Source organism: Homo sapiens, chromosome 14, assembly GCF_000001405.40.
Source record: "Homo sapiens chromosome 14, GRCh38.p14 Primary Assembly".
In the NCBI taxonomy this organism is placed as follows: Eukaryota; Metazoa; Chordata; class Mammalia; order Primates; family Hominidae; genus Homo; species Homo sapiens.
Genome location: NC_000014.9, coordinates 36,266,717 through 36,291,380, shown reverse-complemented (window position 1 = coordinate 36,291,380; position 24,664 = coordinate 36,266,717). Strand labels below are relative to the sequence as shown.

At 38.1% G+C, this 24,664-nt stretch overlaps 2 long non-coding RNA genes across 2 annotated transcripts, besides 2 other annotated features; one reads left to right on the top strand and one right to left on the bottom strand.

The window, feature by feature from the left end:
• Positions 1-1,629: 1,629 nt before the first annotated feature.
• Positions 1,630-18,098, bottom strand: LOC107984003 (uncharacterized). Its single transcript, XR_429356.5, has 3 exons — positions 17,988-18,098; positions 13,311-13,379; positions 1,630-1,698 (listed from the first exon to the last, which is right to left on the bottom strand). It is a non-coding gene; the product is annotated as an uncharacterized LOC107984003 (long non-coding RNA).
• Positions 11,245-11,893: an enhancer, noted in NCBI's record as "OCT4-NANOG hESC enhancer chr14:36748694-36749342 (GRCh37/hg19 assembly coordinates)". NCBI's record gives its function as "activates a minimal SCP1, AML or CMV promoter by ChIP-STARR-seq in naive H9 embryonic stem cells {active_cell/tissue: H9 hESC(naive)}" and the evidence as "EXISTENCE:reporter gene assay evidence [ECO:0000049][PMID:30033119]".
• LOC124903302 (uncharacterized) lies at positions 18,099-22,313 on the top strand. The gene is made up of 2 exons (XR_007064116.1): positions 18,099-18,962; positions 22,070-22,313. It is a non-coding gene; the product is annotated as an uncharacterized LOC124903302 (long non-coding RNA).
• Positions 18,421-18,920: an enhancer, noted in NCBI's record as "H3K4me1 hESC enhancer chr14:36741667-36742166 (GRCh37/hg19 assembly coordinates)". NCBI's record gives its function as "activates a minimal SCP1, AML or CMV promoter by ChIP-STARR-seq in naive H9 embryonic stem cells {active_cell/tissue: H9 hESC(naive)}" and the evidence as "EXISTENCE:reporter gene assay evidence [ECO:0000049][PMID:30033119]".
• Positions 22,314-24,664: the final 2,351 nt, after the last annotated feature.

The window sequence follows — 24,664 nt, the reverse complement described above, 5'->3', positions numbered from 1 at the left end:
AGTGTATATTCGATTTTTAACTATGGCAATTCTGTTTCTTTCCTATATCATCTCAGTTAATTTAAACATCTAGGCTTTAATAGCCTGGGAATTATGCTTTGAAATTCACTGCATTGCTAAAGGACTCCAGCCTTCATGTGGCAGCCTATTAAATAGCAGCTATTCACTGCCTTTTTTTTTTCTCCTGCTCTCAGAATCCTGATCTCATTTTTCTGTCTCAATAGAAAGACAAGGGGTAGATGAACTCTCATGCCAATTAACAAATCTAGAGAAAAAATATGACTGATGCTTGAAAGGTCATGGCCTCTGACCTTTATTTACCTGTCTAAGGTAAAATCCAAAACAAGGGAATTAAAAGAGCATTCATTCTGTTAACTTTCGTCTCTTGGCTGAGACTATCAAACCAATGTGTTATTGTGATTAAAAAAAGGAATTATAGAAAGTCTATTTATTCATTCAACATATATTGAATAACAAGGACTGTGCTGGGGCTGGGAATACACTGATGGAATTTCTGCCCTCCTAAGCTTTAATTAGTGTGTGTTCTTCCCCATAGCACTGACAACAACCCCAGTTGCTTCTTTTCAAGAAAATTAGGGGGTTCCGGAAACACCCAAGAAGCATAATTAACATGATCAAGAGGAGACATGAATGAAAATAAGCAGGAGAGGTAAACATTATTAGGGTTTGTGTACAGTTTGAGTATCCCGTATCTGAAATGCTTGGAACCAGAAGACTTTTCTATTTCAGAATTTTTCAGATTTTGGAATATCTGCATATACATAGTAAGATATCTTGGGGATGGGACCCAAGTCTAAACATGAAATTCATTTCTGTTTCATATACCCCTTATACACATAGCCTGAAGGTAATTTTGTACAATATTTTAAATAACTTTGTACACAAAATGAAGTTTGCATTTTGACTGAGATTCCTCACATGAGGTCAGACGTGGAATTTTCTACTTAAGGTGCCATGTTGACGGTCAATTTCAGACTTTGGAACATTTCAGATTTCTGATTTTGGGATTTGTGATGTTTAACCTGTATTCATTATGCAGCTTTTGTGTGCAAATTACAGAAAACTTCTATTCAACTGGCTTAAACTAGGGGAGGACTTATTACTATATGTAAAGAGAAGTCCAAGTTGGTTAATTCACAAGCTCTGTAACATTGTCCCTGAGGACCTAAGTTCTCATGTTTCTGATCTGAAGCCTCTAGGCCATTTCATGGTGGCAAGATGGCTGCCACACTTCCGGGTACCATATCCAGATAAAACAATATAGGACAACAGAAGAAATAGACCTCTTATGTCTCATTGGCCAGAATTGTATCACATGTTTCTTCCTAATCACTGGCAAGAAGAATTTTTATGATTAGCTTAATTTAGCTCAATTAAAAATGATAACCCACATGCCCAATGTTCTCTATTTATAACTGGAAAAAACAATACTGTACAAGCCAACTAAAGGAGGACAAGCATTGTGTAAAACTCAGGAGTATACAGACACTGATATGAATGGGAAATTAAAATCTCTGTGTTAAACAAATTAAGAGATTTGCATTTGATATTTCCAGCTGAAGATACTAGTTACCTGCAATAGGGAGATAAGATTAACGTTGGAAGGTGCCTATTCTTCCATAAACCACAAATCTTCCTGATGTTTTCTTGCGCTCAGCAATAATTACAAATCTGAAACTTCAAATGGGAAATATAACAGAAATTAGGCATCACTCAATAGTTAAACTCTTATTCATTTCATCAAGGAAACACCGTTACCGAAAGAATACTCTTCTCCCTCAAGAAATAAAAGTATGTTTCTGACTGTTTTATATTTTGCCAATGAGTTGAATTTTATGTTTTATGTTAATTATTAGAGTAGAAGAAATTCTTCTTGGATAAAATGATACTGCTGACAATACAGCAATAATCCACTGAATTTGTAGCATATTTTATGTTTTCAGAGTGCTTTCTCATACAGTAATCTGAGTTACATCTCATTCTTACTCCGGGAAGGAGTATATAACAGTGCTGATTCCTCATCTTTTAGATGTGAGAACTGGGACATGTCAAGAGTTAAAAGATTACCCAAGTTTCATGGCTAAGTAGTTAAAAGATCAGGATTAAAACTGAATTACTTTATTCCTAATCCAATGTTTTTGGAGCAATTTGGCAAGATCTTGTGTAATTTAAAATTATTTGATGCTATGCAAGGCTATTTTAAAAACTAAAAATAATCAGAATCTCACTTCTGAATAAATTCAGATATAAAATCTTCTTTCAGATTTTATCTTCTCCAATCTCGCCCCAGCTATTAGGTCCCTGAAATTTAGGGACCTTAGATTTTTTAGGTTCAAATGTTCTTTTTCCAAATGGTCCTATCCCTTTTCCCTATTGGATATATATATCATATTAACTCAGAATTCAGCAAGTCTCAGCCTGGACCCTTGTGTGACTTTAAATCCTACTTTAAAAGTTCTGAAAATATTCAGAAAGAGCCAAAAGTCAAAGTAAAAAAGAACAAGAGTACCTAAAATTGGGCTGGAAAAGGAAAATTTGAGAAAAATCTCACTAGACGAGTCTAGCATAGGAAAAACAACTCTCCCACTTTCCTGGGTTTCAAGGAGCAGAAAAGCAAAGAAATGTCATGAAGCATCAAACAGCCCCTATCTTTCAACAGTGATGGATGGTTGACAGGAAGCTAAACAAAGCAGCAGCTTCAAAGAAAGAGATAATTTTTTAACTAAAGCTAGAAGGGAGGAGCAAACATTTCCTTAAGAGAATTGTGACATGTCTTTTCCCTTTGGGAACGCTGATTTAAGTGGAGATTATAGAGAACATAAAATTTACATCTCCTGCTTGGACCGGACTCCAGTATCCAGTGGCCCACTCAAAATCTCCCCCTTGGATGTCTGGAGTCATGTCAGCTCTCCACTTTGAAGACTGAACTCCTGATCTTTTCCTCTGACCTGCTCCAGTCACGTCTTTCCCATCTCAGTGCATGGCAACTCCCTTCTTTCCAGGGCCTTGGGTCAAAAAACCTTGAGGCCGTCTTTAACTCCTATCATACATTTTGTCAGAAAATGCCGTGGTCTCTACATTCAATATATATTCAAAATCTAACCCTCTCTCATCGCTTCACTGCTACCATGCCAGCTTGAGCCGCCATCATACTAATCCCTTGGATCACTGCAAAAGCCCCTTGTGGTCCCCCTGCTGACCTTGCCATTCGGCTCTCTATTTTTCACACAACAGCCAGAATGATCCTTCACAATCGGAAGTCAGTTCACGTCACTTCTTTGCTGAAAACCCTACAATGGATTCTCAGTTCACTCAAGAGTAAAAAACAAAGTCCTTCCAAAGGCCTACAGGGCCCTACATGATCTGCCTGGCCTGCACCACCCCCCTTCCTCGTCTGACAAGCCCCCTTTGACTCCTGAGCCTCACCACACTGGCCTTCTCACTGCCTGGATGGGCTCTCCTGGGTTACTGTTCCATATCCCCTCATATCTTAGCTGAAATCTTACTTTCAATGGGATAGGATTGCCAGACAAAATACTGGGCACCCATTAAATGTGAATTTCAGATAAGCAATGAATAGCATCTTAGCACATGCCCCAAATCCCCCAAATTTAGCATGGGACACACATATAAAGTATTGGCTGTATATCTGAAATTCACATTTAACTGGGTGTCCTATTGTTGTTTTTGACTTTTTTTCTCCATCTGGCAGCCTTACAATGGTTTCTACCCTGATCCAGGCACATCCCACCTCCCCTTCACCCCAACTCCAGACTCCTCTCACCTGCTCTATATATTTTTTTCCTTGTAACACTCAGCTTCTTCCAACAAACTACATAATTTGCTTAAATATCATGTGTATTGTCTGTCTCCCTCTTCTGGAAAATCATCTCCAAGTAACCAGTTCCAGCAGAAAGGCAAGATTTAATTTGTGGTTAAATAATTTTATTTTTCAGCATATTTTTTCCCACTGTGTTGGAGTTGGAAGTTTTTTTATGAAAACACATGGGAAAACATAGGTGTTTCTATCTTTCCACTCTTAATATTGGTACACATCTAATACGTAGACACATAGGTTAATATAATTGATTCCCATTCAAAGCTAGCCATGTGCCATGAACTGCAGTAAAGAAGTATGTCTTCCAAAAAACATACCATACACATAGTTGACAAAAGAGAGAATTCCTATGGGGGGAAATAACAGTTGCCTTAAAAAAATCTAAAACATTTTGATTGAATGGCCCAATTATGTCTCTTCTTTCATACCAGCCAAACACAGGTAATTATTATATTTAAAATTAATAAACTTTTTTCTGCAGCAGAAAGGCCATCTGTTGAACTCTGTCATTCAGTCAAAGCTATAGAAAATGTAACCACCTTGTCTTCATTTATTCATTGAACTTATTGTCATTGTTTAGCCGTCATGCATGAAGCACTGTGTCATACGATGGGGTGGGAAGAGTGTGAGAGGGACCCTTGAGAGTGAAGAACGGTCCAGATCTGAAAAGCCTTGCAAATCACTGAATCACTGGCTTAAGGAGCCGGTGGGAAGAGCAGGTGGATGGCCCGATCAGAGTGGCACGTTAGAAAAATCACTCTGGCTTCTGGCTACAGTGTGCAGAATGGATCACTATGCTCGGGTACATTACATTTGGTTAATAAGTTATTTTTGTAAAGAGGGTCTTAACCTCTAGGCCTCAAAGCAAAAATTTCAGAAAAGGGCATTGAAGAAGCCACAAACCCATTTTTAAATAACTTATTATGGCCTGTTTAAATATAGTTTTTAAGGTAATTATCTGTATAGCAAACATCTGCAATTTTATTCAATTCTGTGAATTTTTACTAATAGATAAGAGGCAAAAATGGAGAAGAAGGAAGAAAGAACTGGCAGGAACTAACAATTTTGAGTAGTGTATGAGGACTTCTCATGCATTATCTCATTTAATCCTTACAATAAGCAAAGAGCTTACTGTATTATTATCTCTATTTGCAGACAGGAATTTGAGACTCAGAAAGGTGAGAAGTCCTCTGTAAGAGACAGGGCTGGGTAGCCTGCCCTCATCCTCTCCAAAGCCCGAGTTCTTGCCTCTGTAACAAATGGCAGATACATATACAGAACAGCTAAGTTAGGCAGCAGATGAGTAGGAGAAAGGCTGAGATAACCTTGAGTAAAAACAGAATAAAGGGGAAAATGTATAGGCCAAAGGGGAAAATTAATCGGCAAAATAAAAGCATGAGGAATTACCCTCTTGAAAAGAGCAAAAAGGCAACTGGCTTCTTGAATGAAGAGATATAGAGATGATCAACTTTGAATTTTTCAGCACATTACAAGTACAACCGTAACAGAATTGCCATTGAACTGCAGAATTCAAGAGATGGTCTTCTTGCAGAGGTACTAATATTAAAGATGAACTGCTACAGAAAAGAAGCCTACTTACTAACTTACTTTACACAACCCCTCTCACATGCCCTGGTATTTGACATTTGCGCGTGAGGCTTGATCAGCATCATATCCTCTGAAAGCCAGCTGCCTTTAGTAGATATGGCTGCCTGGCAGGATAACACTCCTTGCTATAGGGAACAGAAGGTATCCCGTCCCCAAAAGAAACCTTCACTCAGGTTTATGCCCCCAAACTCTTTGGAGGGAGATACCATCACCCTGACTGCATGCCCTTTCTAAGACACAGGCTAATCCAGGGTTAGTTGGGCAGACAATGGTCACCCGTATATTGAGATGTGAAGAGCATGGGAACTGTCTCCTTTAAAGCAGCCTCCCTCCTGCCCAGTAGGGATCTTGAATTAATATGTGTGGTTGAGTCTTTACCCCACTCACTTCATTCATTTTGGGTACTCCCCTACCAAAAACTCCAGGGAATGGAGCACTGAACTGCTGAGCTGAGATGGGGAGAGTGTGGTGGGGAAGGCGCTGGCCCAGGGTTATCAGCCTCAACAAGGCCAGCTAGGCAGGAAGCAAGTAAATCTATTTAAGTAAAGAGGACAGAGGCTGCATATCCAACATACCACAGAGTGTTGTGTACATAGAGTGTACAATCGATGTTTCTTATATAATTGTTGAGGTGTTATGAGAAGTAGGGATTAGGTGTCAGTCCCCAAACTACTGCTTATTTGACATGTTTTTCACTAGTTGTATCTGAACAGGCAAAAAAATTGCTTAGTTGCGCAATGTGGTGATGAAGGTAATATATGCCCTTCCCATGGGATATGCTATGTGCTGTGTGTGAGCTTTTGTCTTCCAAGTATGACGGGATGTTTATGCCTCTCTACTTATTATTAGCAAGGTACCAAAGAAAAAGGTGGAAGAGAAGGAAGAGAGAGGCAAGACAAAAACATACCAATACTCTTAGCTCCTTCCTGGCCACTAAGGCTTGTGTACAACTTTGTCCCAGAGGCAGTGTTTATTGAAGAATAAATTTTTGCTGAGAGACTTAAAATCTAACTGGCATTAGCTACCTAGAGATGGAAGGGGGAAGTCTTTGAAAATGTTGATTTAATAAACTAGCCAGCAGCCAGTACACCAGATGAGAACAGAAGGAGGGGAGAGAAACATTCCCTCTGCCAGAGCATTTTGCAGATAATTAAAGTAGAGACTTTGACTCACAGCAGGGCAATTTTAGCATACCTGACGCAGGGCTTGACTCAAGCTCCCTCAGTGTCCCTTCCAGTGCAGTTATGCTATTAGCTTTCATAATATTCCACATAAGGGAAGACACGTTTCTTCAAGCTATTCCATTTTTCAATTATTAAAGAGCTTTGAGTTTAAAAGTTCACCAAAAAACCCATCATGCCCCATCTTGGACATTACCCTTGTCTAATGGGTAGTAACAAGATCACTCTTTCAGACACTCAGTCCACATTACTTAAACATTCATCTGCTCCATTTCACACTTGGAATGGGCTGTGCAATAAACGTATTTGATCTTTTCTTTATTGTCTGTTTCAGGAATGTATGCAGGGTTTTCTTCTTTGCTATATAGGAGCAGATTTCTCCTTTGCAGTGTAGGAAGTGATTCACCTCTAGGAGGCTAATTTTTTATAGTTGAGTGCAGGATCTTAATAAATAAACCAAAAAGTGAAGTGCTATTTTGAACAGCCCTCACACCAGCAGGAAGAATCAGTGAATGAGGAACCATGGAAGACTGTTCACTACATACCCATTTACTCCAAAATATTATTTGGATCAGCATTGGATATTTTTAATAAATTATAAGTGATTCTTCTTTCTGTATTAATTAAGAATTTACACTACTCTTCAAGTGTTTTAACTCCCCCAGTGCCAAGCTTAAGTCCTCTGGATTAATCCTGATGCATGAAGAGCTTTGAAAACATAACAATGGTAAGCAACAACCCTGAGTGATTAAGAAATCAAGATGTGTGCAGGTGCTGGTAAAACACACACACGCACACACATACACACACACACACAAATACGGCAAATGAAAATTAGAAAAATTGCCCAGACATATTGTCAGAACAAACTAAAAATTTAAGGCTTGGAATATGCTAGATTTACATTACATCTCACTTCAGAAGAAAGTGTTAGAGGAAGAAGGCCAGGAAGACTATGAAAAACCAAAGCTCTTAGCAGAGGGCCTACCACAGAGGAAGTACTCAAGAAAAATGAGCATGAAACACAGAAAAATAAGGACAAAAGATAGAGATGAAAAGATAGCAATGAAAAGAAAATAACTTTTCTGTGGTTATTTTCTACAGTAGATTTACAGCACAAAAGGGGGACTCAAAGAATCTTTTGTCCAAGCTGGTGACATCTGATGAGGTATCCTAGATATGGCTATCAATGTACGCAGTCTATTTCAGTTTAACCAGTCAAGGATTAAAATCATTCTTCATATGCCAACATAATATTCTTATTCTCTTTCTGTAATACAAGACTGTTTCTCCATGCATCATCTCAGTTTGGAGAACGGGTAGCAGAAAAATGGCTTCCTCCAAAGCAATTCTTTTCTATTTTGTTTTCTCCAAAGCAACTCTGAGAGGATGGCTACTGGGATTTTCAGCCCAGATCCTGTAAACCAGAGGCTTCCTTAGCAAGGAAGGAGACAACCAACACATAGATACTAAAGTATCTCCACTTAACAGAAACAGAGAACCAGGACTGGAAATTCCTCCCTCAGGGCTTCCCAGCAATGATCTCCCTAACAGTCTCATGGTTAAAACAGTAATCTCATTAAGTCATACTTTTATGGAATAAGAACATTCCCTAAAAAGCTACATGCTTCTGATTTTGCTTACCTTTTTCACAACATGCACATTCTCTTCACTGATAAATTTTTCATGGCAATAATACATAATTTGATAAGACTTTCTTGACAAACGCCCAGTGGAAATTTTAAACAGTGTTTCCTTTGGTCTCTCTCAGGGTAAGCCCCTGTCCACAGGTTCAGTTCGTTCTAAGAAATCATCTTAAAACTAAATATGTACACACTTCCTTCCTGACAGTCAATGTTCACTTTTACCTAAGCGTAACTGAGCAACCGGAGTTTTCAGGTGGGTTACAGAGTGGAAAACAAATACAAGCTAATTTCATGGAATAATCTCTCTAGGAAGAAACAAACCATATCAAAACAATCCCTTGTGTAGATCTTCAATTAAACTGTACTATATCATGGACAAAACACTCATCATAACTAGGAATAGATAGGTATTGTTTCAAACATATTATGTACAAATCATCTAATTTTTCAAGGTTAATGAGTGTAATTTATCCATCTTTGGTTACTGAAGGGGTTACATAGGATGAACAAAACTTAAGAGTTCATCCATTTCATTTCTGTTGATTTGCCTCTATTTGTTTGGCTTTTATGTCCATGTAATTGATTTGTATAAATCTGTCCAAAGCAGATGGGCAACTGCTCATGACACTTGCAAACCATTTAGATTATTATTGTACTGATGTTTATTCAAGGCCAAATGGGGAAAATATAAAAGGTGTGATGTTCAACTTAGCATAACAATATCATGAAAAATTTATTTGGTCTCAGCAGCAAAATAGATACTCTCTACCAATCAGTTTCATAAGTGCAGGTGAATCGCTTCTGTCTATGTGGCTGGACTAGCTACCCAAATTAATTATGGCACCATTTTCCAGTTTTACAACATAATGCAAACTCTCCAAGAGCATAATAGAAAGCATAATAGAAAGACAGTCATCTCCAATGCTACTAGATGTTAACATTTACATTGAAGACTTGTATATCTCTCCTCACGCTTTTGAATCAGAGGATTAAAAAAAATCATCTGCTAAAAATAAGTAAATAGATAGATACACATTTGAGAACCCAGAGAGAGCCATCATCTACTCAAATAGCACACTGATAGCATTGATTCTGTTTTTGTTCTTTTTTAAGGAATAGATTGTGATTATAATTTGCTACACAAAATTATATTTTGTTCTGTGTTTAGATTTGACACTTGCATAGATCTAAACAAATTTAAGTGCCATTGCTTAATAGACAAATAGAGATACATTGTTTTCTTTATGCCACCAGAAGCTAATTAAAACTGTTTCCCTAAAATCCTGATCAGTTAAAATGCTTTGGAAGCACTGGAAAATTATTTTAATTTTTTTCCCCCAAGTGCTAATGATCAACTCAGCCTATGACACAGACCAGAGGTGTCACAAAGACACTTAAGATGTGTGCCCAAGTAAGTCCATCTTGGAAGTGGGTATGCCTAAGTGAGAGGAAAAGCAAATGACCTCTAATATTTGACCTCACTGTGGTTGGATCTGTTAGGGTCTCACCAGTACTATCTTTTTTCCTCTAGGCGCAAGAGAAGACTACACTTCCCAGATGCCCTTGCAGTTTGAGAGGAACCATGTAACTGAGTTCTGGCCAATGGAATGTGTGTGGAAGTGAATAGCATGGTGTACGCTATTTCCTGACCTGGCCATTACCCTCCTGGTCTCTTTCTTACTAGAGTTTCTTTGAGGCCAATCCAAATTTACATGAAGAAACTTAGATTTACTTTAAAAATCAGATAGAATTTTAGGTGATTAGGCTGAAACTCTCTAAACAAAAAGGGTTTAAAATCCTTGAAGAATGAAAGTTGCCTGGGCCAGTCTAATACAAGCTATGAGCATCACAATAAACTGTTTTTTAAAGACTCTATGTCTTGGAAACTGAAAGTTCCACTTATAAAACACACATTACTGAATATCAAGGCTTAAGACACAGTCACGTAAAAAGGTTTTTAAAAAATCTGCCACATATAATGCAATTTTACTTTTGATTATTGTGAAGTCAGAATTCCAAATGCCTCAGATTCACCATTCTGAACATCAGTATTCTTTGAACAGTATTTCTGATGCAGAAGGTAGAGGTGACAGCTGAATTTAGAGCAGCCCATGCCATTCCCTAAATTGCATTGTTAATGAAACCCTTAAATGTAAATTTGTATTGCTTCCCTCTTTCTATGACGCCACCCAGACAAAACCACTTCAGTTATTTTAACTTTCCTACTTATTTATTGCAGATGAACAGGAATTTATTTTATATACATTACTTCAAAGTATTCTTATCATAAAATCTGTATTTACACCCTTCTCACAAAGACCAATTAATAGACTCTTTCCATAAGCAAAGGACTATTTAACTTACAGAAATATAAATGATGCCATGCTGTACATACTGATATTTTTAAAACCTCAATTTAAAAGGTGACAGATTTTACAATGATGGATAGGGCATTTAACAACTAACTCTAAAGTATACTTTAAGTCCCACATTTAAGTACTGCATAAAGGTTACTTTCTTTGTTTCCTTCTTTTATTCATCTATTTATAAATTCAAGGTCTTTGAAATGTTTTTCCTCTTATATTTAATGTAGCCTGATCTTTGCTTAGAAAAATACATTGCTACATTTATCAATTTTCTGATAGCTCCATAAACAACGTTAGCTTATAAAATGCTAGTACTGTAATATAATGGTAACACTACAAAAAGTTATATATTTTTTAAACCTTTTCCCCTTAAACGAATAATTATTGCTTAAAGAATAGTTTCTTCCAAAGGTGGCATTTGAATGGTATGGTTCATAATGCCACATGATAACCTCAGAGAGTGAATGAGCTTGTCACTAAGGCATCTAATCCTCTAGGCAAAAAATAAGAAAATGTGTTAGGACATAATTAAATACTTACTTCTGGGGAAAATATAGGAAAAGAAACTTCATCTTTTGTCAAACACACTTTTGTTAACCCAGACTTTGCCGGATTTGCAGCATGTCAAAACTGGTTCGTTCCTTAGCCATTTAAGAAGCAAGAATGCACACTCATTGTTCATGACTAGTTTCCACTCGCCTGTGACAAAACAGCTAGTTGGAGAGTCAGCCTCGGTCAGTGTCTATTTAGGGCAAAATGTCAAAAAAGAATGTCCTGCATTTGGGCTCAACAATAATGAACATGGCTAAATCTGAAAATTAACAAAAGAAAGTGAACAGCTTTTTAAATTCTGAGAACATTAGATTCTGGTGTCCTTTTTGTTCCGATTGTTGTGGCTTAACACTCTGAAAGGACCACCTGTTGGGCAGCCATTTTGTGATTGTATTGAATGCAGTGATTGCATAAAAGAACACTTTCCAAAATAACCTGGCATTATTATTCACTTATTTTGTAGTAAATCTGCATTCAAAACCTGCATTAAAATATAAGGCTTTCCTCCTAAGTGAAATTTAAAGCTATAAGTTTAATGGAAATGCATACTCAACTGCAAATGCATGATTTTATGGTCAAACGCATTATACACAAAAATGAGTTCAAGTAAACCTTTGATATGGCAATTAGAGAGTATGTTGAATAAAGTGAAACAGTTAAAAGTGGTGCATGGCAGACAGGGAATCCCAGAGGAAATGACACAAAACTGATAGCATGTAATTATTAGACTGACACAGAGACATAATGTAGTTGGAGAAAATTACTGTTGTCTATTAAAAGAATGTGATATCCTCAGCAATCCTGAAAGCATATTTTACTGGTATAATACCTCCGCTTTCATGAATAAAGGAAAAACCATGTCCCAAATTCGCAGGCTTTGTAATTCATTTATGCTAAAAATCTCTCCTAGAACACAGCGTAAACAAAAACATTATTGTTTAAGTCCAACTGGTGGAAAATGCTAGTTAATGCTGCAAGTGACAACTAAGAAAATAAAAGAGAATACTCAAAAGAGAAACTGTTCCTAAGATAAAAAGATCATTTGTTATAACTATCCAATGAATGTTTTAAGAGCATGCGTTTTGACATTGAAAATGATACTTGTATCAAAAATCATCTTTGGTGCATGAACACATTTTGGATGCTTGATTTGATTTTCAGTTTTGTGGCTACTTTAGGATAATGTGGAGAATAATAATTCTCTATTCCATGATTTTTATTATTACATGAGCCTGTAGAATTAATCCATGTTCTGAATTTGGAAAACACAATAACTTTCAAAATATTTTTTTAAATTACATCAAATAGTTTCTAAGGATTCTTAAATATGTTACATTTCAGTTTAATCCTGATTATAGTCTTTTTCTCAATATTATTTCATTTATTTTAACTGTGCTCTATGTAATGACCTAAAGTATATTATGTGGAATGAATGATTACATTGTCACAAACATCCAAAAGTTTTTCCTAAGTTTTTCAAACTTTATACTCACTCATGGACTTAATTCTATACATTTTAAAAATAGTAAAGATTTTTTGCTTTAAAAGTGAATTGTAAGCCCCAGGCAACATGGCGAAAACCTATCTCTACAAAAAATACAAAAATTAGCCAGGTGTGGTGGCGTGCACCTGTAGCCCCAGCTACTTGGGAGGCTGAAAGGTGGGAGGATTGCTTGAGCCTGGGAAGTAAGGCTGCACTGAGCTGTGAGATGACACCACTGCACTCCAGCCTGGGCGACAGAGACCCTGTCTCAGGAAAAAAAAAAAAAAATGAAAAAGTGAAGTGTTTCTTTAAAGAGAAAAAAATTAAAAGTGCTTTCCCTAAGCCTTATTTCCAAAGTGGAAAAGACCACCAAAAAAAAAGAAATTTCCAAATTGATTATGTTTGTAAAAAATTCTATTGTTGATTTTTATTTTGCTACTTTCATCAATTTTCTGATAAGTTCCTTAACTTACAGAGACTCCAGTACAGTGTAAGCTCTGAATGTTTAGTCAAAGTATGAGTTTTTAAAAATTCCTTTCTTGGTAGATATAAATGAAGCCTTTTTTTCTGATAAATAAGCACACTTGACTTTATATTATCTAAAGAAAAGCTTACCTCTTCCATATCCACAGGCAAATATGATTCCTTGTTTTCAAGACCATTTTTTCCCTTGTTTTTCAGCACCTAATACAGAGAAATATAACATCAAAATATAAACATGAGGAAAAATACAGCACACATTCTGAAATATGGAGGGTATTATAAATAACTCTCATTCACACATTTGGAATTTTCATGGTGAAAAATTATGAATACACTCAAATGTCATTGCCATGTGCCTAGAAGCTCAAGACACTGAAATTACCGGGCAACTTTAAATTTTAGTTCATCTCTCATATCTTTAACTCCCTAAAGATCTGTTTTCTTTACATAAATGCCACTCACTGGAATATGCACCACTCCTCCACAAGAAAAGCCATATGAAAAAATGGCAAAGAATATCATGTCACATTTAAATCGTGTCCTATTCTTGTGTTTGAGACCCTAAGAAGTCAGTGACTTAGCAAGTCAATGTATTAGAAAGCTGTTGGTGATGCTGTTCTATGCTTAGACTAAAATATACTCCATTCTCCTAAAGAAAATAGCTTCTTGCAAACACCCTCAAAACAAAGCCAAATTATATGCTATATAATAAATTAATATGAATTTCCTGTTTGCTAAAAAGGCTGAGTTTATGAATTTAGTTAGATAGAATCATGGATATAAACTTGAGTTTATGTAGAAAAGTAGGTTAGGCTTGGGAAAAGAAAGAAATAAATCTTTATGAGAATCACAATATACTGGGGACTGTGAGGGTTAATAAGAGGCAAGGAGGAGGTGAAGGAAAAGGAGAGATGGAGGAAATAAGAGAAACTGAGCAGATGAAATAAAGGATTCAATGGAAGGTATTGTTGGTCACAGCTAGGTGTCAGAAACAAAACTAGAAAATGGGAACTGCTTCAACATTGGGAGGAAAGTGAAAAAAAATGAATGTGTACCACATAGTAAAAAGAAAAAGAAAATAAGAAATAATAAAAAGGCTTTCAGGCTTTCCACAGAGCATATCTGTGAAAAAAATAAAGCAAGCCTGAAAGAAAAGAAACAGTGAAATTGAAATTTTCTCCAAAGGTATCTCATCCAGAAGGTTTCATTGTGCCTTCCCTTTCACATCAAAAATTTAATTTTGCATTCCCTTTGTCTGTCTTGAGGCACACTTCTAGTTTATTCCATGAATTTCTTTTTCTTTAAAATTCTCCTTATTGGCTAAAAGAAAGGAATAAAATTCAGATCTTTGCTTGTCTCTTTTGTCCCAAGTTTAGGAAAGATGGGAATGTCTTATTCATTGACACTTGGGTATTTGCTCATTTTCTCTGCTGTACCAGTAAGAGCCACCATTTTCATTGTCTTTAAGACAGTCTCCTTGTGACACTAATAGACTAGCAGACTTTTTACTCTCAATTTACCATTAATCATTAAAGCTCCTTCTTTAATGATTATGGAATAGAACCTTTAATGTTCATGGAAAAGGATATAAGAAGTCATAAGTTGGATTGCTCTTATTAACCCCGGGGTTGTGTTTCTAGACCAAGGACACATATTATTTCTGGCCCAAAAGTCTGTTCAGGTTGCCGGGAAAGTTGGACCTCCATCAGGAGGGGTGATTTATTTGGGGATATGGAGGCGACCCTATAGCTTTACCTGAATAAACCCAAATTTGAGATTTGACTATGGAAGGAGTCCTTCCCTGACTCTTTTGCTGGTTTTGAGCTTACCAAATTGAGCTCACCAAATTTTGGTTTGTATTTGCATCTTATGGTTCATTCTGACCCAAGCTAACCTGCATCCTCAAAGGATGTGTGGCCAATAACTTCCCTAAGGTACAGCATACAGGAAAAGGACTAGGACGTGGGCAGCTACATGGGCTCACCAACTGACTCTCCAACCCTGGTCATATCGCCTGGCCAAGGAACTTGAGTTTATCTCTCTATAAATTCTAGGGCTTTGGTTATTTCTCACTTCACAGGATCACAAGCATATAGACTCATTGTCTTCCGCTGACCAGCAATAGTACAATAGTATGGGGCATTTTTTGGGGCCCCATAGAATGAAGACACTACCATTCAGCTGATGATGCTGCCCCACATATTGTGCATCCTAGGCATGCCCATCCCCCACCAGTAACCTCAGGCAGCAGTCCTTATACTGAGCTTCTCTCTGGTGCCCATGGCAACCCCAGCTTTTAATGCTGAAATGTTACCACAGGGTTGCTTTTTGGTTTGGAGTTTTTTTTTTTTTTTTTTTTTTCTGGAATCTTTTTGAAATGAACTGTTGATGTTGCAGTTTTTGCACATCCTTCAACTTGTGCAGAATTCCGTCGGAACTTATGAGCCTGAATCCAATCAGGTTCACTAAGACGCACTATCTAAAAGCTGACTTATGCAAAAAATAAAAATAAAAATAAAATAAAATAAAAGCCAAAATGCATTCTTACTGATTAAACTTGCCTTTTAACGAAAGCGCTTGGTATTTCAGAATTAATTTTCCTCCTTTCATATTCTTTCTTAATTACAATAGAGAACTATTTTTGGGAACAAACTTTTGCAAATCTTTACTTCAAATTTATGTGAATATACACTGTGTGTGCACATGCAAATACCTAAATGAATATAAAAGTACATAGATATTCTGTATCAAAGTTCTGTATACCTTTCTTTTCAATTTACTAATTCTCTAGGCTAGCATATAAAATGGATGGACATTAGTTAAGGACAGAATCTTAAAAACCTACTGTGTACCAATATATTTTTTAAATTACTTATTACTCCTTTGTACATTCTTTAAAATCAATTTTTGATTTTTAAAAGAAGACACAAACATCAGTTTCTGAGAAGAAATTTGCTAGGGTCCTGGCTGCATTTAATAATATTTCCTGGTTTAACATCTTTCCTCCCAGAGTGCACACTTACACTGATTTAAGGTCCTCACACTTTCACTGAAATTGTTTATCCATTTTTGCTTTTCTGATACAATTATTATTGTTTTAGCTTTTTAAAATCTCTTTTAAAATTGTATTCATTTAATGTGTCTGTCTTTAAGATATTAAAAATCCTTCATTTGTATGTCACCTGTTAAGGGAACGTATTCTATGAACTGCAATAGAATGCCAAGTTAATTAGAAGAGCCAGAACTCTATTCTGGAAGCACCCACCTCTGAAATGCAGCCGCTTCTTGGATAAAAAGCAACAGCTGTGTGAAAGCATAGTGCTGCTAACACTGCACACCTGCTTAAGGCAGGAAGTAAATGGAAAGGTTTTCTCTACCTGAATTTGCAAGGGGCAATTTTTAAAGCTGGAATGGGATAACCCCACATGGGAATTTGATCCAACCACTCAGGAGTAAATCTTGCCTTATAACACATGATGGATAAGGACATCCTTATCAGAGAGAGGCATGTCCTTGGGGTGAAGAGAAAGGCTGCCGCCTATGGCATTATTGAGGGTAGCAGCCACAGGGTGATTTCATTCTCTTCTTGTGTCCACCCAAGATTCAAGTTGAACCTACCAGGAATTTAGGCAAGACTTGGTGGCCTGCAGCAGTTGTAGGGAGGCAGTTACATACAGTCACTCGCTACATATGAAGAGGAGCTTTCTGGCTGCTTTTCGGAAGGACTAGCCCAGGCAGGAGGAAGTTTAACCTGACTGGTTTGCTAAGCAAGACCAGGTAGTTACTAAAAGAGATGGTCTTGGCCAGGTGCAGTGGCTCATGCCTGTAAACCCAGCACTTTGGGAGGCTGAGGTGGGAGGATCTCTTGGGGCCAGGAGGTCGAGACCAGCCTGGCCAACATGGTGAAACCCTGTCTCTACTAAAAATACAAAAATTAGCTGGGCCTGGTGGCTCATGCCTGTAATCCCAGCTACTCGGGAGGCTGAGGCAGGAGAATCACTTGAACCCAGGAGAAGGTTGCAGTGAGCCGAGATCACACCATTGTACTCCAGCCTGGGCAATAGAGTGAGACTCCATCTAAAATTAAAAAAAAAAATGGTATTTTCCTGTGAAGGGTTCCATTAATTATCCATGTGGGCTGGAATTGTTTCTCTTGAACAGTTACTGATACAGATATTCAAACAGTTAATGAGACTCCATCTGTATAGGAGTTTCCAAGTGGGAGTGCAGGCCGAATTGATTAGTTTTAGATGTGAGGCTTTTTTTTAAGCAAGAAGAAAACCCAGAGTCCAAACAAACAGCATTTGTAAAGTTCGGAAAAGACGTTGCTACCAGAAATGGGGAGAGAAAAAAAGAATACTTTTGAGCAAACCCTACTTTCTTTAAAATGAAAAACAATGGTAAAGTTTCCATATGTAATTAAAATCTCATTCTGAAGTTACCACGCCACTGGCTCCGAAAGAACTCAATTAACAGGAAACGGCAAAGAATATGGTATTTTCTTTGAGACGCTTTAAGAAATGCTCCTAAGTAGACAATGGGTTGGATAGTAGCTGTTACCTACAAAAGGATAAGCAATTATGGTTCATTCCAGGGAGAAAAGGGGAGAGGATAAGGCTAAGAAAAGTAGGTTTATAATGTGGAAATTAGATTTTCAAGTGTGCATATTTATCATCAGATCTATATTGAAATCCAGGCTGTACAAAGTCTAACTTTACTTAAGAAAATTACCTTATTAAAAAAAAAAAAACTGCACCCTCATTTAAAATATTTCATCTGAGAAAGGAAAGGTGATCACTCCACGCTCACCTCAGGTCTCCTTTCCCAGATAGACTTCCTTTTCTTACAGTTGAAAACTAAATACACAGTCCTGGGGACCAGCTCAGTTTCCAGAAGTTGGTTCTCCCGATGTCCCTGACACTAGCAGGTTTAATTCAAAGTATAGAAGGCGACCTCCGTAGGTGTGTGGTCATTGTGGAAAGAACGGAAGAGACCATTTAGGTCACTCTGCATGTTAGCGAAGTTGAAAACCAAGCCAGTAAGCAGTGAGTGATTTGATGAAGCAGTGCTTCAGGTGTCTGCCTCTTTGAGTTCGCTGAAAAGTTGGATCTTACATATTTAGCACCTGAAACAACCGAAGGCTTACGGAGGACACTGACAGACTGGGGCGAGGAGGGTCTCTGCCTCCCCTGAAGACCTGGACCACCCTCCACACCTGGGCAAGTGCTGCAGCGGTGCCTGCTATTAGAGTTAAGCAGCAAGGGCAGCGACACCTGGGATGTAAAAAAAAAATAATTATAAATAAATAAACACTAGCAAACTACCTGTTAGTTTCTACCTGTGAGGACCTAAGAAGACTAAACAAACAGCTCCTTAATTTCTGGACTTTCCCTTGGATCACAGAAGGAGACCCTGGGAATTTTCTGATTCCTTCTTTCCTTTTTTTCTTTTCTTTTTTTTTTCGGTCTTAATGGAGATCTTGAACTGCAGAGCCGCCGTGTCAGAACTCAGATGGTTAACATTCACTTCTTGCTGTTTTATTGCATATTACTGTGCGCGCCTGAGCAGCGGGAGCAGATTCGGGCAATTACAATCAAGTCAGGGCACACGCCGCGGCGGAGCAACACGAGCATGATGAGGATACTGATGAGGCACTTATCGAAAACCCCACATCATCCACACTCATCAGCCACAACATGTCACCCCAAATGAGGCATCAGCTGCCTTCAAAAGGCTCATTGCACAGTGTTTACCGCTTCCCTCGGACCCACTTTTGATTTTACGGTCAGAACTGGGTTCAAACAGCAGCTGTCTGGCAAGGGCAGGTCTGCGGCTCCTCGCAGCTTCCGCGGGAGTCGGGAGTCCTGGGGCTTTGTCTGGGGAGCTTTGGGGAGCAGGGGCTGGCAGGGCGAGGGGACGCGGAAGGCAGAGAAGTGTCCAGTTCCGTTTCTCTCAAAGAGGAATCCCTTTCCCAGAAGGGGCCCTTGATTAATTTCAAGCAGTAGCACACAGTGGTGGCATAACGGGGGGAGTAGGAGGGAAGCCAAATAAGGAGGCTTTCACAGGTCTCCTTAAAATGGTAGCAGGGTGGGTGGGACCTCTCACGCAGACAGAAGTCCTAGAAAGATCAGTCTCTTTGGAAAAGACAGATCCAACCAGTGGAGCCGTTCAAGTGGTCACAATTTTTAATTCTTTCCATCAACAACTCCTTCTTGGGTGGTTGGGGGAGGCATTCGTTAGCAATCTATAGGAGGACTTCCCCCCATCTAGTTTTTCTGCTGTAGAAGGAAGATATATTCCTAGTAATACTCCTTAAAACTATTCTTTGTTTTTACTCCTTGAAACTCTTCCTTGTTGCTTTGGGTTAATGCAACTTGCAGCTAAACACTTGTTGGGGGAATCTAATTGTTTACACTTAAAGAATGTGAAAACCATTGCCATCTATGTTTCAGTCTGTGTCTTTCCTGGTAGGGGGAGTGTGTTAGGCTGATACCAACTTTGCACATATTTGTAATGACTGGATTAATCAATGCCATTTATTTTAAAGCTAAATGTTCATAATTTTGTAAAATTCACCCTACAGTAAAACATTTTCCAGTTAGATCTAGACCAATTGATCCAATACCAATAAAAGCCACATAGGCTTTCAATTTTTCACTCATTTGAGACCTTTTCAGCCCCCTCCCCTCAAGCCCCAGTGAATGCTATCTTAGCCATCCAAAGTAAGAATGAAGAGCAGCATGTGGCAGGGAAGAAAGGGGAACCTCCTGCCCCCAGTCATATGATCTGTCCTAGAGACAAGGCCACATGCAGAGCATTGTTCAGCAAGGGGGCAAGGGAAAGTTAGGCAGGTTCAGAGAGACGATGTGGACATAGGGTAGACCAACAGGCAGAGCCACACACCCTAACCAAGGTCCAGAATCCTGGGACTTAGAAACAACCTCAGTGTACCTGTAATAAATCTGGAGTATACCTTTGGGTATAGAGAGTGTCATGAACTCCAGTCTTTTTCAGTTTCACCATATCCATTGCTACTTTCTTTTCGCTGTTTTTTTCTACATAATTCTACAGCAGTTGGCATTTGGCTTTTAATAGGATTTTAACATCTTTACAAAAAATGGGGAACCACAGAAAATAAGTAGATCTCTAGGTTTGAAGAGTTTTAGTAGTTTTGAGAAACTAATTTACTTTTTCTGGTAAGTCATTTTATCCACTTTTAGATGTTAACAAACTAGAGCTGCCAGGAATTTCAGGAAAGGTGTTCCTTTCTGTCTATTCCATCTCAGGGGTTCTGCTCACCTTCTTTCCTCCCAGATCCCTTCCTCTTCTAAACTTTTTAACTCTCCTTTCATGTCCCTGAGCTGATAATATTCTAGTTTGGCCCATTTTGCCCAAACTCTTCTCTAGCTTCTGGGTTTTTTTTTCCTAAGTTTAAGCCCACATGTTTGTACTACATGCTGGGATTCAAGGGAAAATCCCACGACATGGTCTAGGATGGTGACTATAAACCTCAGAGCATCACTTGACTTAATAGCTCCAAAAGAGTCAAGACAAAAGGAGGCAAGTTTGTGCCTACATTTCCTTTGTCATCCTGGATCCCTCAGGGCCTCCAGGCTTCATGCCCCAATAACCTGTGTTTATTGCATGATTTCAGGTGAATACTACAGGGAATAGGAAATGTGAATGCAGAAAAGAAAATGGGTGGGTACTACGGGATAGGAGAGAGTTTGGGAAGGTTAGATTAAAAAGTAACTCAAGGCTAAGATTCATATTGGTCCTTCTAAGTTTTGCCTATGACTCATTTTCACTAAGTGATATCTCATAATCTTTAACTTAGTATTTCCTTTAGAGCTCTCCTAGTAGGTGACCTCTATTGATGATATAGAAAGAAAATGAGTATTTAATTAGAGTTCAACAATTGATTACGGAGAGGATTCATTAAACCATCAGATGTATTTATATGGACTTAGCAACCTCTATCAACAATGCCTGCCAAGATCATTGGTTCTAGGGGTTGCAAATATTAGTCATAATTCCTTAGGAAATTTTAATATTGGTGGTGTGTGTGTTTAAAATTTTTACATATATTGGATACTCTTCAATATCTTGCTACTGATAGAATTCAATGCTGGGAGAAGCAGAGGGAAGATTGCAAATGAAAATGCAGCACGATAAATTCTAGACAGTTATCCAAACCAAATTAAAAGGAATTATTCATGTAGAAGATCAGAGGAATTCACTGGTCAGATGGCTATTGAGGCCCCTAGTTCTCAACCTCTGGTTTAGGAATCTGGAGAAAAACAATCTTGCAGGATCCTTCCTGGGAGCTTCAGAGAAGATCTAGGCCAGAAAGAGACAGTTTTCATGTGTGTATGTGCATGCAGCATGGAGTGTGTGTGTGTGTGTGTGTGTGTGTGTGTGTGTGTGTGTGTATCTCTTTGTGGGGTCATCATCTAACGCTCTTTGTGATGCACATTCTAAATTAGGCAAAAGGGATGCATCTTTCAAATGCAGATCATGTTTGCATTAGAAGAGCAATGAGAACACTTGTCAGTTTCAGAACATTTATGTGCTAGAAGTACTGTTAGCAGAAGAGCAGTTTAGATAAATTCAAGACTTTTTTTGCTGATCACAAACATTAAGCTTCACACCTGAAGCCCTCAACCCCCTGCTGTGCTCTAATCCTAGCACCATTCACCCTTAGAGACTCAGAGTGCTGTGCCTCAGCTCTCAAACCTTTGATTGCCCTTAGTTTGAATGCCACCACCTGCAAAAATGCCTTTTTATTCCCTTTGAGCCTCTTGAGAAGGAAGTAAAAATGATAATTCATGACAAACATTAATTAATTGTTTACAAGATGATCTTTTCTTTTTCCAACTTCTGTTCAGCAGACATGTTGAACTGCAAGATTCCACTCGCGACGCCAGAATTCGTCAAGAGGCCTGCATTGTTGTTTCGCACTGAGGCATAGGACCGGCTACAGGCCATTGTTTCTCCAGCTCAAGTGGGCCTGTCTGGTTCGTGTTGGAAGAATGAGGGTGACATGCGTGAGTTCCCGAGTATAAAAGAACTACTGGTTCTAGGAAGGAACAGGAGGTTAGCCACTAATGCAGAGTAAATAAACATTTTTCACCACCTCTTGCTCCATGTGATTTTTAAAGGTCAAGAGCTGCCATTACAGTATTTTAAAAGCTTCAAATTACATTTAAAGAATGTATCACTAAACTCACAGAAACCTTATCAGAATTTAGGAACCTACTGTGATTGTTTGGTCCTTGAGTTTATCATCCCACTGGAAGGTGGATTGTAAAAGGAAGGCAGATGCCCCGTTGTTTCTGATATCCTGCAATTTGCTCAAAGTGAATGCTGTTCAAGTTCTTCCAAATTTCCCTTCAAAATATGGAAAGTGTTAAAGACACTTCAATTTCAAAATCTTATACAATCTACATTGCAGGTCAAACATTTAGGGCAGGGAAGAATAAGCCTCTGGGGCCTTTCACGACAAACACGTTCAAAATGCAAAGAGATGTTCATGTTCCCTTGAAACTTCCAAATGTATGTGTGTGAAAGAAAAAGAAGTAAAAGGCAGAGGGAGATTTCTTTTTTAAATTAAAGAATAAAAAGCTTACTTCAAGGAAGTGTAGAGTAACAGCAGAAAGACTTCCTCAGCAACTGAGGTTTTCAGATTTCAAATTAGGAGCCCTTAGATCACGGCTGCTAGGCTAAAAATCAATTCTATATTTTCTGAGTTAATACTAAGGATTGCACTTAACAGACATGGAGACTAATAAGGTATGCAGAAGGAGTAAAAGCAGCGCACACACACAAATTCAGGCCTTAGTTTTGGCCATGATCCAGCACAATGATGTTTCAACCAGATTTGAAAAAAAAATCAATAACATCTGTGGTATAATGGTTAATTAAAGCAGCTCTTCAGCAGAGCTCAGGAGGAGAGGCTCAGCCTGAAATTCAGACAGCTGAAGCTTGATTATCAGGAAAGAATGCTTTTTTAGCTATGAGTGGATAGGCCAAAAGCTGCAATGTGCCGAAATGGGGAGAAAAATTGCTTTTATTTTAACTTTCTTTAAGTAATCAATACATGCTTTTCACCTGCATTAGGACACTGCTCAGCTCCAAAGGCCTGTTACTCCACTTCAGCATAAATTCTAGCTACTCTCTTTTAAAGCTTCGGTTTAAAAAGGAGTCCCCATCCCCTGTAAAGCAAAAGAAAAGAATATGCAGGTTTGGGTGCATGTTCTTGACACCAGTTAAAGCTCAGGCTATAGGATGGTCCCAAGGGTTTAATCCATAAGCTATGTGCAAAGCTGCCCCAATCTTGGAGTACACAGAGGTCATAGCCAGAGTACTAAGGCTTCACAATAGAACTAAAAATTCTCGAGGGAACTGTGAAGGGCAAGGCCAAATTTCCCACTGCTTTTCGTCTTCCTATTGTTTTGAGTACTGTGCTAGGGATGTTTTCTTTACCTTTTTGAGGGCAAAGCTCAATGAATCAACAATGATGCCTCTTGCAAGGTTAGTAGGTGACTTTTCCAAAGAAAAAAATAATTGTTAACACCTCGTCTATTTTCTTAACACTTTGCTTCGGTTTCTATTTTGGATATTGTTCCTGGACAGTGGAATCTGTGTGTTCACGTCATCATTGTCAAATTTCAAGATGCATTTGTAAAATGATATTGCCCCCTCTGGATTACACTAGTTCTCCTATAGCATATGGTTAGTTAATTGTTCATTCATTTTTTCATTCAGCAAGTTTTTCTTCAGTGCCAAGCATGTGCCTATCACTATGTTGGGTGGTTTCTGCCCTAGGAAGCTCATACATAGCCTGTTTGAGGGCTGCGTGCTTGTGAACAATTAATTGCAAACACAGTGGGAAAATAGCCCAAATACAAGTGTCTAAAATGGCTAAAAATGTTTAAGCACCCCCCCACCCCGAGTCAACTGCACTTGGGAAGAGACAGAGGGAAGGTTAGGGAGCCTCAACAGGGAATATTCTCGGAGCAAAATCATGGAAGATAAGGAAGTGTCTCCAGGAAGACAAGGAGAAAAAGGCAGAGAAGGCATTCAGAATTTACATATACTTATGTGAATTATAAGTATCAATTCAGAAGAATATATATGAAAGAAGTGATATATATATATCTTATAAAATCTTCTAAATTAATCTTTGGAAATTGATACATGATAGATATATGTATTTTCAAGGTACGAATGACATTTTGACACATTCATATGATATGTAAAGATCAAATCAGGGTAACTGGAATATCCATTACCTTAAACATTTATTTTTCTCCTAGGAACATTCAAATTATTCTCTATTAGACTGGTGCAAAAGTAGTCACACCATTTTGCCATTACATTAAAAGTAATGTAATGTGATTTTAATATCACATTATAACTAATGGCAAAGTGGTGTGATTACTTTTGCACCAACGTAATAGCTATTTTGAAATGTACACCAGATC